This window comes from Homo sapiens, chromosome 1 (assembly GCF_000001405.40).
Source record: "Homo sapiens chromosome 1, GRCh38.p14 Primary Assembly".
NCBI classification, from domain to species: Eukaryota; Metazoa; Chordata; class Mammalia; order Primates; family Hominidae; genus Homo; species Homo sapiens.
In genome coordinates, this window is record NC_000001.11 from 211,988,528 (window position 1) to 212,003,011 (window position 14,484).

General features: G+C 37.2%; 1 protein-coding gene across 7 annotated transcripts in view; it reads right to left on the reverse strand.

The window, feature by feature from the left end:
* The window catches only part of INTS7 (integrator complex subunit 7), a 95,155-nt gene that overhangs the window by 48,125 nt on the left and 32,546 nt on the right, over window positions 1–14,484 (reverse strand). The gene's annotated exons all lie outside the window — the stretch shown is intronic.

The following is a 14,484-nucleotide window of genomic DNA, read 5'->3' on the forward strand; positions in this document are numbered from 1 at the left end:
CACTAGGGAAAAACTAAAGAATTATGAATAAAGAATGAACTTTGGTTAATAATAACAATGTATCAATATTGGTTCATTTATAACAAAAGTACTATACTATTGTAACATGTCAATAATAGGGGAAATGGTGGGGGAATGTGGGAACCCTGTGTACTATCGTCTCGATTTTTCTGTAAATGTAAAACTATTCTGAAACCCCCACCATATTTTGCTTAGGAGAGATATGAATATTATTTCATATATGTGTAATTTTTAAAAATAACAGGGAATATGGAATTCTATCTGGTTTCTAAGTGAACAGAGCTATCTTCCTCCCATTTCTGGCATTTACTCTACTCTTGACCAGGTAGTTTGAAGTATTACCAAAAATAAGATGCTAGTTTTTCTTTCAATGCAGTGAACTATGAATACATAATCACAGTACAGTGACTCTTGCCTTATCCTTTATCACATGATTCTGTATCATATAACTGCATGTAATATAACAAGTCAAATAACTGTTTTGTTAAATTAATTTCCATTCTCCCACAAAGATAAAGGTTCAGAAAATAAGCAAAACTTAAAGTCTAAGGAAAAAAGTTAAAAATAACATTTCAGAAAGGGTTAAAATAAATTTAATATGACCATCAATAAAATTGTCAACAAAACTGCAGGATGATTTAGATTATCTGATTTTAAAGATCATGTGGAAAAATAAAAATCAGAAAACATCCAGAAAAACTGGCAAGGAATAGATTCAAATATATACTAGAATTTAATATATGATAATGGCATTTTAAATTAAAGATACCAGTTAATCAAAACTACAAAGACAATTAACCAGTCATTTGGTAAAATAAAACTATATCCCTGTTTTTTTTTTTATGGCAAATAAAAAACCAAAACTGTAAAAAGTACTATGAGGTAACATGGAACAATACAAAGTAAAAAGATAATTGGCAAACCTAGAAAAACATATTCACATCATATAACATCAATTAAGGACCAAGAACCTTAATATATAAAAAGTTCTGGCTGGGCACAGTGGCTCACGTCTGTAATCCCAACACTTTGGGAGGCCGAGGCAGGAGGATCGCCTGAGGTCAGGAGTTCGAGACCAGCCTGGCCAGCATGGTGAAACCCTGTCTCTACTAAAAACACAAAAATCAGCCGGGTGTGGTGGTGCACACCTGTAGTACCAGCTACTCAGGAGGCTGAGGCAGGAGAATCGCTTGAACCCAGGAGACAGAGGTTGCAGTGAGCCAAGATCGCGCCACTGTATTCCAGCCAGGGCGACAGAGCAAGACTCCGTTTCAAAAAAAAAAAAAAAAAGTTCTTACTAATAGGCAAAAACTCAATAAAAATTTGGTATTTCATAGAAAGAATGTAAACAAATGTCTTTTAAATAGTCTAACCTCATTCATACTTTGAACATTTTAAATTAAAATGTGTCACTTTTTACCTATCAGATTGACCAAGGTTAAAGTTTGATAATACATAACACTGAAGAATATGGGGAAATAGGTGCTCTCATTGTTGTCAGAAGAGTAAAATGGTGTAAATCTCTTTGGTGAGTCATTGGTATTAACTCTCAAAAATTTTTAAATATCCATCATTAGACCTAGAAATTTCTTTTCTGAAAATTTATGCTCACAAAGGTGATTTTTTTACAAACTATTCAATGTAGAAATGTCAACAGTAACCGTGAAAGTATCAGAAACAACCCTAATGTCCATCAGTGGGGAACTGGGTATATAAAGGAAGTAGCACACAGCTGATAAAAAAAAAAAAAATGCAGTAGATCTAGCTGCTAATATAAGATGTTCCCCCATATTAAGAGGTAAAAGGTTTAGAACATGCACGTAGTGTATTTTCACTTGTAAAGAAAAAAAGATGGGGCATACACGTTTCCATATTGATGAAAAAGTTTAGGAAGGATACATAAGAAACTATTAACAGTGATCACTTCTGCAGAGGAGACCTGAGAAGAGATGACATATTTCACTCATGGTATACTTTTGAGCTCTAGAAATTTTTTGTCATATACATGAATACTTTTTTGACTGAAAGAAAAACCTAGTTAACAAGAAAAACAGCAGCAGCAGCAAAAATTATCATGAAAGGAATGGAAATAGACCTGAAAGATGCAGTATGTTTCTGGTAACTGAAGGGAAGACAGTCTAGGTAATGCATACACATACTCTGGCAATTAGGCCAGAATATGGGGTGTTTAATTTTGGCCTAAGAGGAGATATGTTCAAAAGGATAGAGGCTAAGTAAGATGGGGGGGATTAGGCCAGATGATATAGGGCCTTAAAAGTTAGGCAGAATAATTAAAACCTGATGAAAAAGGAAAAAAAGAAGCCAGAGGAGAGAATAATGGCATCTAAAGTGTTAGGCAGGATAATTCTGGCAAATGGTAAACAAAATAAAGTTAACAAAGAGAACTGAGAGTTAAGGATGCCAACCTATAGCCTCTGGCAGTAATCCAGGCAGGTGGTCATGATGGCCTGAACTAGAACTTGGTAGCAGGAATGGAGACTAGTGAATGAGTATGACAGACATTTTAAAAGAGATTACATATCAAGAAATGAATAAGAAGGATTCAGTAAGTATTACAAACTTTCAAATCTAGTAACCAGATTCCATTTAAAAGACTGAAATTTATGGGGGATAAACCAATTTTAGAAAAAGGACAGAAAATAGGATGAGATATGAAGTCCAAGAAGAAATATCCACCAGGCATTTGGAATCTAAGATACAGCAAATTTTTAACTGGAAGACTCACATCAGAATTCTGGCTCTACCACCTACCAACTCTGTGATCTGAGCCAATTACTGAAATATTTGAGTCTCAACTTCTTTGTCTGTAAAATGGGGTAAATATTTGTAAAGAACTGTTGATTTTCATAAAAAACACCTCTAGAAAAATATACAAAAAAATAGATATTGGTTGCCACTGGGCAAAGGAGCTACATAGATGAGAGAACAGTAGGCGGGAAACAGTCATTATACATCCTTTTGTAGTTTTGGAATTTTGACCACATGAATGTGTTGGCATTTAAAAAACTGAATTAAAATTAAAAATCAAATGTAAGTGAGGTAACATCTACTGTCTGTAAGATTACAAAGCCACTAAAAGTCAAAGCACTTTGTGACCCATACAGGCTACTATGTTAGAGAGCAATGTAGAAGCTCAGGTAAAAGGACTAGATTGTTGGAGGCCCTGCAAACTGGCATTAAGAAAGGCCATAAGAATGACAGAATAAATGGTAGAAAGCAGAGAGCCATGGACTCAACTTGGAAGAAAAAGGGCAGTGAAGAATACAGAGAAGGTGCAGGTTAGGTAGTGTTATGAATGAGTGAGGACAGTTAAGTGCCAAAGAGGCCAAGAGAAGGGGCAGGTTGACAGTGCCAAATGTAAAGTGCCTAAGCACAGTGACAGGAAAACAGATCAAAATGCAAGTGTATGAAAGAAAGAGCAGGGGATGAGGAAATAAAAGCAGATATAGATGCTGTTTTTGAAGTTCAAAAGAATGCATTTTAAAAAAGTGATTATTATTTAATACTATAATTTATATTTATTTATTCAAGCACTTAGGCCATTTCCGTTGTTCACTTTTTGTTACCTAAATTGGCCTGCCTTGTACTGTTAATTAGCTTGTGATTAGGACTAATATCCTAAACCAAACAGCCCCAGAAGTTAGGAACTATGTTCTATATTTATATGTATTCCATATTATGTCTCAGATTGCTCTATGTATAACAGATATTTAGCCTTCTGTGGTAATAAACTAGGTGAGAGATTTTATATAAAATGATAATATTAATAATTTTAAATAAGAAGAATTTTACCATTTAAAAAACTGAATATTAGAAAATCTTGTGATAAAATTATTTACAATGTTATATTCTGTTTCTGTCATCTAGCACATTATTGGGAACCTAAAGCAGTCTCAGTAAATAAATATTCGTTTAAGCCTGGGCACATAGCAAGGTCCCATCTCTACTAAAAATTTTTTAAAAATTATCTAGGTGTGGTGGGGCGCATCTGTAGTCCTAGCTACTTGGGAGGCTGAGATGGGAGAATCACTTGAGCCCAGGAATTTGAGGTTGCAATGAGCTACAATTGTGGTACAGCACTCCAGCTTGGGCAACAGGGTAAGACTCTGTCTTAAAAATAATAATAATAAAATTAAAAAACACTGATTTAAACGTTCATTAATCCAAATCAGTAAGCTTAACAGAGCAAATCATGAAGTTCCCCAGAAATGATACGTCAATCACATTTCCATATAAAATCTGGTTCGTGGACATTACCTATTACAAAATTGTTACCAGGACCATTTTTCATAACAAAAAGGAAAAACTGTCTTTTCAAATGGAGTCCTCTGTCTCATTCATTACCACTGCCTTCTTCACTAACTATTTGGTCTACATTTCCTTCTCTACTGGCTTAACTCACTACTCAACTAGAGGCTCTGGCCTGAATTATTGTTGTCTGGGTCAATCCCTAAATAGGGGCTTCTCCTACACCCTGGAATAGGACTGGTCACCAGGGATATGTTCCAGAAAAGTATAGTAAAAAGGAGTTTATAATCTTTAAAGTAAAGAAAAATGTTATGTTTGAAAGTATTCTGTCAGAGACAGAATACCTCAAAACTTTCTGTCTCCTTTGCAGTTATGCAAAGAAAAAGATTATTACAAGAACTAATTCTCAGGCTGAACTTGTTACTCCTCCTAGTCACAGGTAAGGTACAAATTAGAAGCTCTCAGAAGAGATAATGCTAAAAATAAAATTTACATCTTTGAGACTATCTGGAACAAATAATACTTTGCTCTGTAACAGAGAGGTTGCATAAATCAAATATTCTCTTCCAGTAAGACTACAGGCCAGGTGCGGCAGCTCACGCCTGTAATCCCAGCACTTTGGGAGGCCAAGGCGGGTGGATCACCTGAGGTCAGGAGTTTGAGACCAGCTTGGCCAACATGATGAAACTCTGTCTCTACTAAAAATACAAAAATTAGCTAGGCGTGGTGGCAGGCGCCTGTAATCCCAGCTACTTGGGAGGCTGAGGCAGGAGAATCGCTTGAACCCAGGAGGCAGAGGTTGCAGTGAGCTGAGACGGCATCACTGCACTCCAGCCTGGGTGACAGGGTGAGACTAAAACTCAAAAAAAAAAAAAAAAAAAGACTACAGCATCAGATATTGTAAACTATTAATAGAGATTAACACAAGCTAAGATGGTTATTTATCCCAGCATGGCATCAAAAAAATCTAAAGAAAAATATAAACACACTAAAAAATGTTTTTCCTATGAAACTATCGTTTTTGACTACCGTAATAATAATAATATACTTGGACCTTGATTTAGGCCCTTCCTTCTTTCAGGTTTTTAAAGGTATACAGAATGAAAGCTATTCATTTAAACCTGAAATATCTGATTCCATCTGAAAATTATAATACTAACCAACAAACCAGAAAAAGTAGCAATGGAAATGGACACAATGTGAACCTGAAATACTAAAACTCAAAAACAACCAGCAATGATAAGACTGGCTGAGACAAAGGCAGAAAGTAACAAAAGAAGGAAAGACAAAAGGAGAGAAGGAAAGACAAAAGGAGAGAAGGAAGAAGGGAAGCCCTACAATTACTCTTGGTAATTGTAAAATAATGATGGAAGAAATAAGTAAAAAACCTGTTATACAATCACTCTTGGTAATTGTGAGTAAAATTCAAATTCAAAATCAACACCTTATTACTTTAGAAAAGGTTAAATCGTTAGAATTGTTTTCCCCTGCTGTATTTCAGTATTTTCAAAAATATATCTAGGCTATAAAAAATGATTAATTGACAACATCTGTTTAATTAAAATCAACATGCTCAGGATTCAGCTGCAATGGAAAAAAAATTCTCTTTTTTTTTTTTTTTTTGAGATGGAGTGTTGCTTTTGTCACCCAGGCTGGAGTGCAATGGCGTGATCTCAGCTCACTGCAACCTCTGCGTCCCTGGTTCCAGCAATTCTCCTGCCTCGGCCTCCTGAGTAGCTGGGATTACAGGTGCGTACCACCACACCCAGTTACTTTTTGTAGTTTTTTTTTGTTTAGTAGAGATGAGGTTTCACTATGTTGGCCAGGCTGGTCTCAAACTCCCGACCTCAAGTGATCCGCCTACCTCCGCCTCCCCAAGTACTGGGATTACAGGCATGAGCTACTGTGCCCAGAGGAAAAAAATTCTTCATGAAGAAACAAACATTAAAAAAAAAGTATGTTCAATTAAAAAAAAAACAAAACAAAACACAAAAATCCATAAGAAACATAAATCAGAATAAAAATTCAAGATAAGATATGGTATAATGAAGAAATAATAGTAAGCTGTGAATCAACAAAACAATTGCATTTAACTAATTGTTAATGTGGTTGTAAAGCTCAATGCAAATATTATTTTTAAAAATTATTACAAAAAAGAAACTTCATAGTATTAAAAAAAAAGATAACTGGCAATTAGATTCCAGATTACTTTAACATGATATGGGGTGAGGGGAAGATGAATGGCAGCAGAAAAGAGAATTAGGCCTCTTAAAATTTGCAACATTTCAGCCATCATAATTTTCATTCTTAATGTTAATAATTATGCCTAATTAGCACATTAAAATCTTTTAACTCACTAGAGGAAGACAAGAACAAAGAAAACTTGATCAAAATAGCAAAGAAAAGCGATGGGACAAAGGAAACAGAAAGCATTACAGACAGCATAAAATAATGATGGAAGAAATAAGCAAAAAAACTTGTTATACCAATAAATGTAAACAACTTATGGTACACATTTTTAAAGACTCGAATTAAGTCAAAAGAGGTAAACTGTTTTTTCTTTCTTTATTTTACCTGACAGCAATAACTTCAGCATCAAAAGAGGTAAATCTAACTATAAGGATCATACCTAGATGACAGAGAAAGGTTAAACGGATAATAAAATTGGCAAAGACAAAAGATACATGCAAAGAAAAACAAGCAAGTGGCAATATTAACAAAATGAATGAGGCCAAGGCTGCAAATAGAACAGAAGATTCTTTTATGCAGATAAAACTCTCTATGGAATAAGACAGCCCTAATATTTTTTAATTGAAATGGTTAGATATTGCTGTGGTCTGAATATTTGTGTCTCCCCGAAAATTCCTATGCTGAAATCCTAACCGCCAAGTTGATGGAATTAGGAGGTGGGGACTTTGAGAGGTGATTAGGCCATAGGGAAGGAGCCCTCATGAATGGGGTAAGTAACCTTACAGAAGAAGCACAAGGGAGTGTGGTCACCCCTTCCACCATGTGAGGGCCAAAGCAAGAAGACAGAAAGTGGGCCCTCACCAGACACTGAATCTGCTGGAGTCATGATTTTAGACTTCCCAGCTTCCAGAAATGTCCGAAATAAATTTGTGTTATTTGTAAGCAACACAGGTTATGGTATTGCTACAGCAGCCCAAATGAACTAAGAAAAATATAAACTGGAGTGAGAAACTAAAGACTATCAAAATTTCACACACTGACAAGAGAAAAAAACTAATTTAAGATATAGTATACCTAAGTAATATCACCAATAAAATAAGAGTCAACAGAGCTTATAGAAAATATGTCTTCTGGCCGGATGCGGTGGCTCACCCCTGTAATCCCAGCACTTTGGAAGGCCAAGGTGGGTGGATCACTTGAGATTGGGAGTTCAAGACCAGCCTGGTGAACCCGGCGAAACCCCATCTCTACTAAAAATATAAAAATTAGCCAGGCATGGTGGTGGGCAGCTGTAATCCCAGCTACTCAGGAGGCTGAGACAGGAGAATCGCTTGAACCCAGGAGGTGGAGGCTGAGGTGAACTGAGATAGCACCACAGCACTCCAGCCTGGGCAACAGAGGAAAACTCCATCTCAAAAACAAAGCAAAACAAAAAAAAAATGTCTTCTTTTCAAACCCCTGAACTGTTTACAAAAAGTGATCCTACAATGGGCCACAAATAAACTTTAAGAATGACAAAAAGCAACAACAAAAATTCCACCAACAAATATGGAAAATTAATCACTTCAAAAGCAGAAAACATTAAACTAATGCCATGGTCAAAGAAGAAATAAAAATTGCTCTCATGGATATTAAAAAAAATCACTTACAGTAGCATTAAGACCATGAAATATTTAGGAATGTATCTAACAAAATATGTGCAAGATTTGTATGCTGAACTAAAAACCACCCATATGGCCTGGCGCAGTGGTACACGCCTATAACCCCAGCACTTTGGGAGGTCCAGGCAGGCAGACTGCTTGAGCCCAGGAGTTTGAGACCAGCCTGGACAAAATAGCGAGATCTCACCTCTACAAAAAAATACAAAAATTGGCTGGGTGTTGGTGTGCACCTGTGGTTTCAGCTCCTTGGTAGGTTGAAGTGTGAGGATCGCTTAAGCCTGGGGGGTCAAGACTGCAAAGAGCCGTGATCGCACCACTGCACTCCAGCCTGGGCACTGGAGTGAGACCCTGTCTCAAAAAATAAATAAATAAAAATAAAAACCACTGATAAGATGCGGGATAAAAGACTACAAATTGGGTACAGTGTATAGTGCTTGGGTCATGGGTACACCAAAATCTCACAAATCACCACCAAAGAACTTACTCATGTAACCAAACACCACCTGCTCCCCAAAAACCTATGGAAAAAACAAAACAAAACAAAAATACCACTGATGAGAAACTGAAGAAGAGCTGAAAAAAAAGAGAGAGATAGGCCAGGTGCAGTGGCTCATGCCTGGAATCCTAGCACTTTGAGAGGCTGACGTGGGCAAATCATTTGAGACCCGGAGCTTGAGACCAGCCTGGGCAATGTGGCAAAATACCAGCAATACAAAAATTAGACAGGCATGGTGGCGTGTACCTGTAGTCCCATCTACTCAGGAGGCTGAGGTGGGAGATCACCTGAGGCTGCAGTGAATCATGACTGCACACCATTGCACTCCAGCCTGGGCAACAGAGTGAAACCTATCTCCAAACAGAAAAAAAAAAAAAAAAAAAAAAGGGAGAGATGTACCATGTTCATGGATCAAAAAAACACAATACTATTGGCCAGGCACAGTGGCTCTCACCTATAATCCCAGCACTTTCGGAGGCTGAGACGGGCAGATCACTTGAGATCAGGAGTCTGAGACCAGCGTGGCCAACATGGTGAAACCCCATCTCTACTAAAAATACAAAAGTTAGCTGGGGGTGATGGTGCGCACCTGTAACCCCAGCTACTTGGGAGGCTGAGGCAGGAGAATGGCTTGAACCTGGGAGGTGGAGGCTGCAGTAAGCTGAGATCACACCACTGCACTCCAGCCCTGGTGACAGAGCAAAACTCCAACTCAAAAAAAAAAAAAAACCACAATACTATTAAGATGTCAATTCGTCCCAAATTGATCTTTAGATGTAAAGACCAACAAAAATCCCAGCAGCCTTTTTTTTCATAGAAATTTACAAACTGATTCTAAATTTTACATGGAAAGGCAGTAGACCTAGAACAGCCAAATTTGAACTCTTGGCCTCAAGCGATCCCGCCAGCTCAGTCTCCCAAGTAGCTAGGACTGTAAGTGTATACCACTATGCCTAGCTGATTTTTAAAATTATTTTTTTTGTAGAGACAGGGTCTTACTATGTTGCCAAGGCTACTCCTAAACTCCTCACCTCAAGTGATCCTCTCACCTTGGCCTCTTAAAAGCACTGGGATTATAGGCATGAGCCACCACATCCCACCCAGCGTAACAATTTCGAAAAAGAAATACAAAGGTAGGGGACTCACACTATCTGATTCCAAGAGTTGCCATAAAACGATGGTAATCAAGACAGTGTATTATTTGCACAGACCAATAGAACAGAATAGAATTTGGAAATAAATCCATACAGATATTGTCAACTGATTTTCAACAAAGATGCTAAAGTAATTCAATGGGGAAAGAAAAGTTTTCCCCACAAAATGGTGCCACAACTGGCTATCCAAAGCACCTTGATGCCTACCTTGTACCATACACAAAAGTCAACTCAAAATGGATCACACAGGGCTATATATAAAACTTAAACTATAAAACTTTTAGGAGAAAACTTTTGTGATTTTGGATTAGGCAGACTTCTTAGATAAAATACAACCTATAAAAGAAAAAAACATTAATAAACTAGATAGATTTTATCAAAACTTAAAACTTCTTTTTAAAAGACAGATACTAAAGATACATATTGAGAGGGAATATTTGTAAAACATACATCTGATAAAGGATTAATATCAAGAATATATAAATAACAATAACAAAAAGACAAAAAAACCTAATAAAAAAAGAATAAAATATTAGAATAGGCACTTCACTGAAGATACAGATGACAAATAAGCCTGTAAGATGCTCAACATCATTAGCCATTAGGAAAGCGCAAAATAAAACCATGATGAGATACCACTACACACTATTACAAAACCATACAACACAAAGTGCTGGCAAGGATACAGAACTAAAACTCTTATATATGGCTGGTGGGTAAGTAAAATGGTATCGCAATTTTGGAAAACGGTTTGGCAGTTTCTTACAAAGTTAAACAGAGTAAGTGTTTACCACACAACCCAGCAATTCCATTTCTAGGTATTTAACCAAGAGATGTCACACAAAACCGTGTATGATTGCAGCTTTATTCATAATGGCCAAAAACCCAGAAACAATCCAAATGTCCATCAACTTATGAACAGACAAATTGTTGTACGCCCATGTATCTGAATACTGCTCAGCAATAAAAAGGAATGAACTATTGCTACATGCAACAACATGGATAAATATTAAAAGTATTATGGTAAGTGAAAGAAGCCATATCCAAAAGGCCACATACCATATGATTCTATTTATATCCTGGAAAGGCAAAATCACAGCAACAGAAATCAGACTGGTAGTTGTCAGGGGTTGGGGAAAGGACTGACTACAGAGGGGCCTGCAGAAACTTCTGGGGGTAATGAAAATGTTCTGTATCTCAATTGTGGTGGTGGTTTTGTACATTTGTAAAAACTCATCCAACTGCAAACCTAGAAAAGTTTCTGTAAATAAATTATACCATAATAAATCTGGCTTTTTAAAAAATGCATTTCAAACTAATGGCAATGAGAACAATACAAGACATAATTTACAAAATGCGGTCAATCTGTACCAAGAAGCAAATTAATGGTCTTAACTGCTTTCATTATTAAACGGAAAAAATAAAAATGAATATACCAAGGATTTGAAAAAGATAAGAAAGCAAAGCTTCCGGCAAGTCTAATCAAGGAAAAGGGGATATATAGGCCGGGCGTGGTGGCTCATGCCTGTAATTCTAGTACTTTAGGGAGGCCGAGGCACGTGGATCACCTGAGGTCTGGAGTTCAAAACCAGCCTGGCCAACAGGGTGAAACCCTGTCTCTACTAAAAATACAAAAATTAGCCAAGCAGGGTGGCTCATGCCTGTAATCCCAGCTACTTGAGAGGCTGAGGCAGGAGAATCGCTTGAACCCTGGAGGCAGAGGTTGCAGTGAGCCGAGATTGTGCCACTGCACTCCAGCCTGGGCAACACAGTGAGACTCTGTCTCAAAGAAAAAAAAGAAAGAAAGAAAGAAGAAAAAGGAAAAAGGGATATAAACACAAATGTACAAGATAAAAAAAATTTTTAAATCAAAGCTATTAGAAGTTATAAAGACTCTTTATGCTGATACTAATGAATTTGAGAAGTAAATTAAATGGGAAACAAATGACCAAAACTGATTCCAGAAGAGGTAAAAAACTGACAGGACAATAACATGTAGTGATTGGAAATGTTCTCAAAACAACTATCGCTGGAAAAAGTTCTACATTCAGATAAATTTGTGGTACTTTTAAAGTTGTATCTTCAGAAACAGAAAATTCTGTTATACTTCTTAACCACTCCAGAGTATAGAAAGAGAAACTTCCCAGTTCATTTTAAGACAGCACAACCCCAACCCTACAATCTGTCAAAGTATTCAAAAAGGAAAAACTAAAGAATAAACTTACCTTTAATATAACTTACAGCTACCCTTAAAAAAGCATTTATTTGTATGTGCCAGACACCACATTATATATTGCTTTACTCAAATATCTTACATGGCAATCCTCTATTTCCCTAGTTTATTTGAATTTCTGTGTTTCTTTAAAACCTTTCTCTTTGCCTCCTCCATTTTTAACCATACCTAATGACCATGTTTCCTAATTACCTAACAAAACAAAACCCAAAAAAAATCCATCACAAGAGACTTTCTATAACTTTTTACCATAATACCTACTCATTCACCTACATTAGGCTTCTTAAGGTCTTCCTTCCTATTCTATGTGAACTAGAGAAAGCCTATCTACTTCTACACTGGATCCCTTCCAGTCTCACCCACTCAAGGCCATTGCTGTTGCAATTCTTCCCCTCTACCAGGTCATTTCCATCAATAAAAAACAAGTTTACTCCTCCGAGGATAAAAACAAACAAACAGCATACCCTTTAGCAATACCATATCATTTCTCTGCTCCCTTGAGGGCAGAATTCCTTTTTTTTTTTTTTTTTTTTGAGACAGAGTTTTGCTCTTTTTGCCAGGCTGGAGTGCAATGGCGCGATCTAGGCTCACCGCAACCTCTGCTTCCCGGATTCAAGCGATTCTCCTGCCTCAGCCTCCCAAAGTAGCTGGGATTACAGGCATGCGCCATCACGCCCGGCTAATTTTGTATTTTTAGTGGAGACAAGGTTTCTCCATGTTTGTCAGCCTGGTCTTGAACTCTACCCACCTCGGCTTCCCAAAGTGCTGGGATTACAGGCATGAGCCACCACGCCCGGCCCAGAATTCCTCTTAAAACGTTTTCTACAGTAGGCACTCAATATTCATGGGTTCCGCATCCACTGATTCAACCAAATCCAGATCGAAAGTATTTGAAATAATAATAAAAAAGAATAATACAAATAAAAAAACAACATAATACAACTATTTACTTAAGATTACATTGTATTAGGTATTATAAGTAATCTAGAGAAGGGTTGGTCCTGGAACCAATCTCCAGCGGATACTGAGAGACCAATGTACATTCACTGCCTTAAATCTCCCTCCTGTTTTCCTGCAGAATCCACTCTACTCAGTCTTTTACCCACAATGTTGCAGCAAAATTGCTCTCTTAAGGTTATCAATGACTTCATATTGCCAAACGCAAAGGTGAACTATCAGTCCTTATCTTGGCGAATATGGCTGCAGTAGCTCTCATGGTAGATCAAGGTCTTCTCCCTATAAAATACTATTCTGACTTACATATCACTGGCCACTCCTTTTCAGGCCCCTTTGCTGGTTGTTTCTCAGTTCATCATTCCCTAAATCTTCTCTAGCCATATTGTCTCCCTAGTTGAGTCATCCAGTCTCATGGCTTCAAATACCATCTATAAACTGACAACTCTCATATTTATAACCTCAGCTGGATCTGTCCACTAAACTCCAGGCATATGTCCTTGACATCTCCACCTGGATGTCTAACATTTTACAGTTTATATACTCAGAAGTAAACTCTTGATCTTCAAGAAATGAGTCTCCCAGAGTCTTGCCCATTCCAAGTAAATCACAATTGCATTTGTTGATGGTAAAAAGCTTAGAGCCACCTTTCTTTCTCTACACTATACCAGGAAATCCATCAGCTCTAGCCTTTAAAATATATCCAAACTATTACCACTTCTCACTACCACCCCAACTACCTTGGTTCAGGTAACCACATATTTTCTAATTCGATTATTTGTAACTGCCTCTTAAATGTTCTCCCGGCTTCTGCCTTTGGGCCCCTACAACCTAGTCTCAATATAGCTAAGCCAGAGATAATCTTTTAGAACTTAAGTCAGATAATGTCCTCTGCTCAGAATCTTCCAGAGGCAATCTATCTCATGTAGAGTAAAAAGCTAAAGTCCTTAAGAAGGACTCAAAGGCCCTAAATGCCTATTCTTCCCTACCATCACCTAACATCACCTCCTACTAATCTCCTCTATTAACAGTCACACTGACCTCACACTCATGAATGTTCTCACTTCAGGGCCTTTTGGCTTTTCTCCTCCTGATAATACCCTTCCTTTAGGGGCCCACAAAATTGACATTCCCTTCTTTAGGTCTTTGCACAAATGTCAACTTCGCAGTGAGGGTTTCCCTAACCAGCCTACTTAAAACTGCAACCTCCACCTTCCATATTCACTAATCTTCTTCCTGACTTAAGTTTTCTTGGCAGCATTTATCACTGTCTGACGTCTCTGCCTAGCGGAAGCAAATGCAAATCCCTACAGGAATGTACTTTTTGGTTTGAGCCTCAAAGAATTCCCACACATACTTCTCCAAGAATAATGACTAGTTCAAAGTGAAAAACAATCAGGTATACAAGGAAAAAGGGTATAGAAATAGAGAGTAGAGACAAATCTGCAGACTTTAGATAAACTGAAAAAATAATTATTGAACTAAAACATATATAAGAAGAAATTA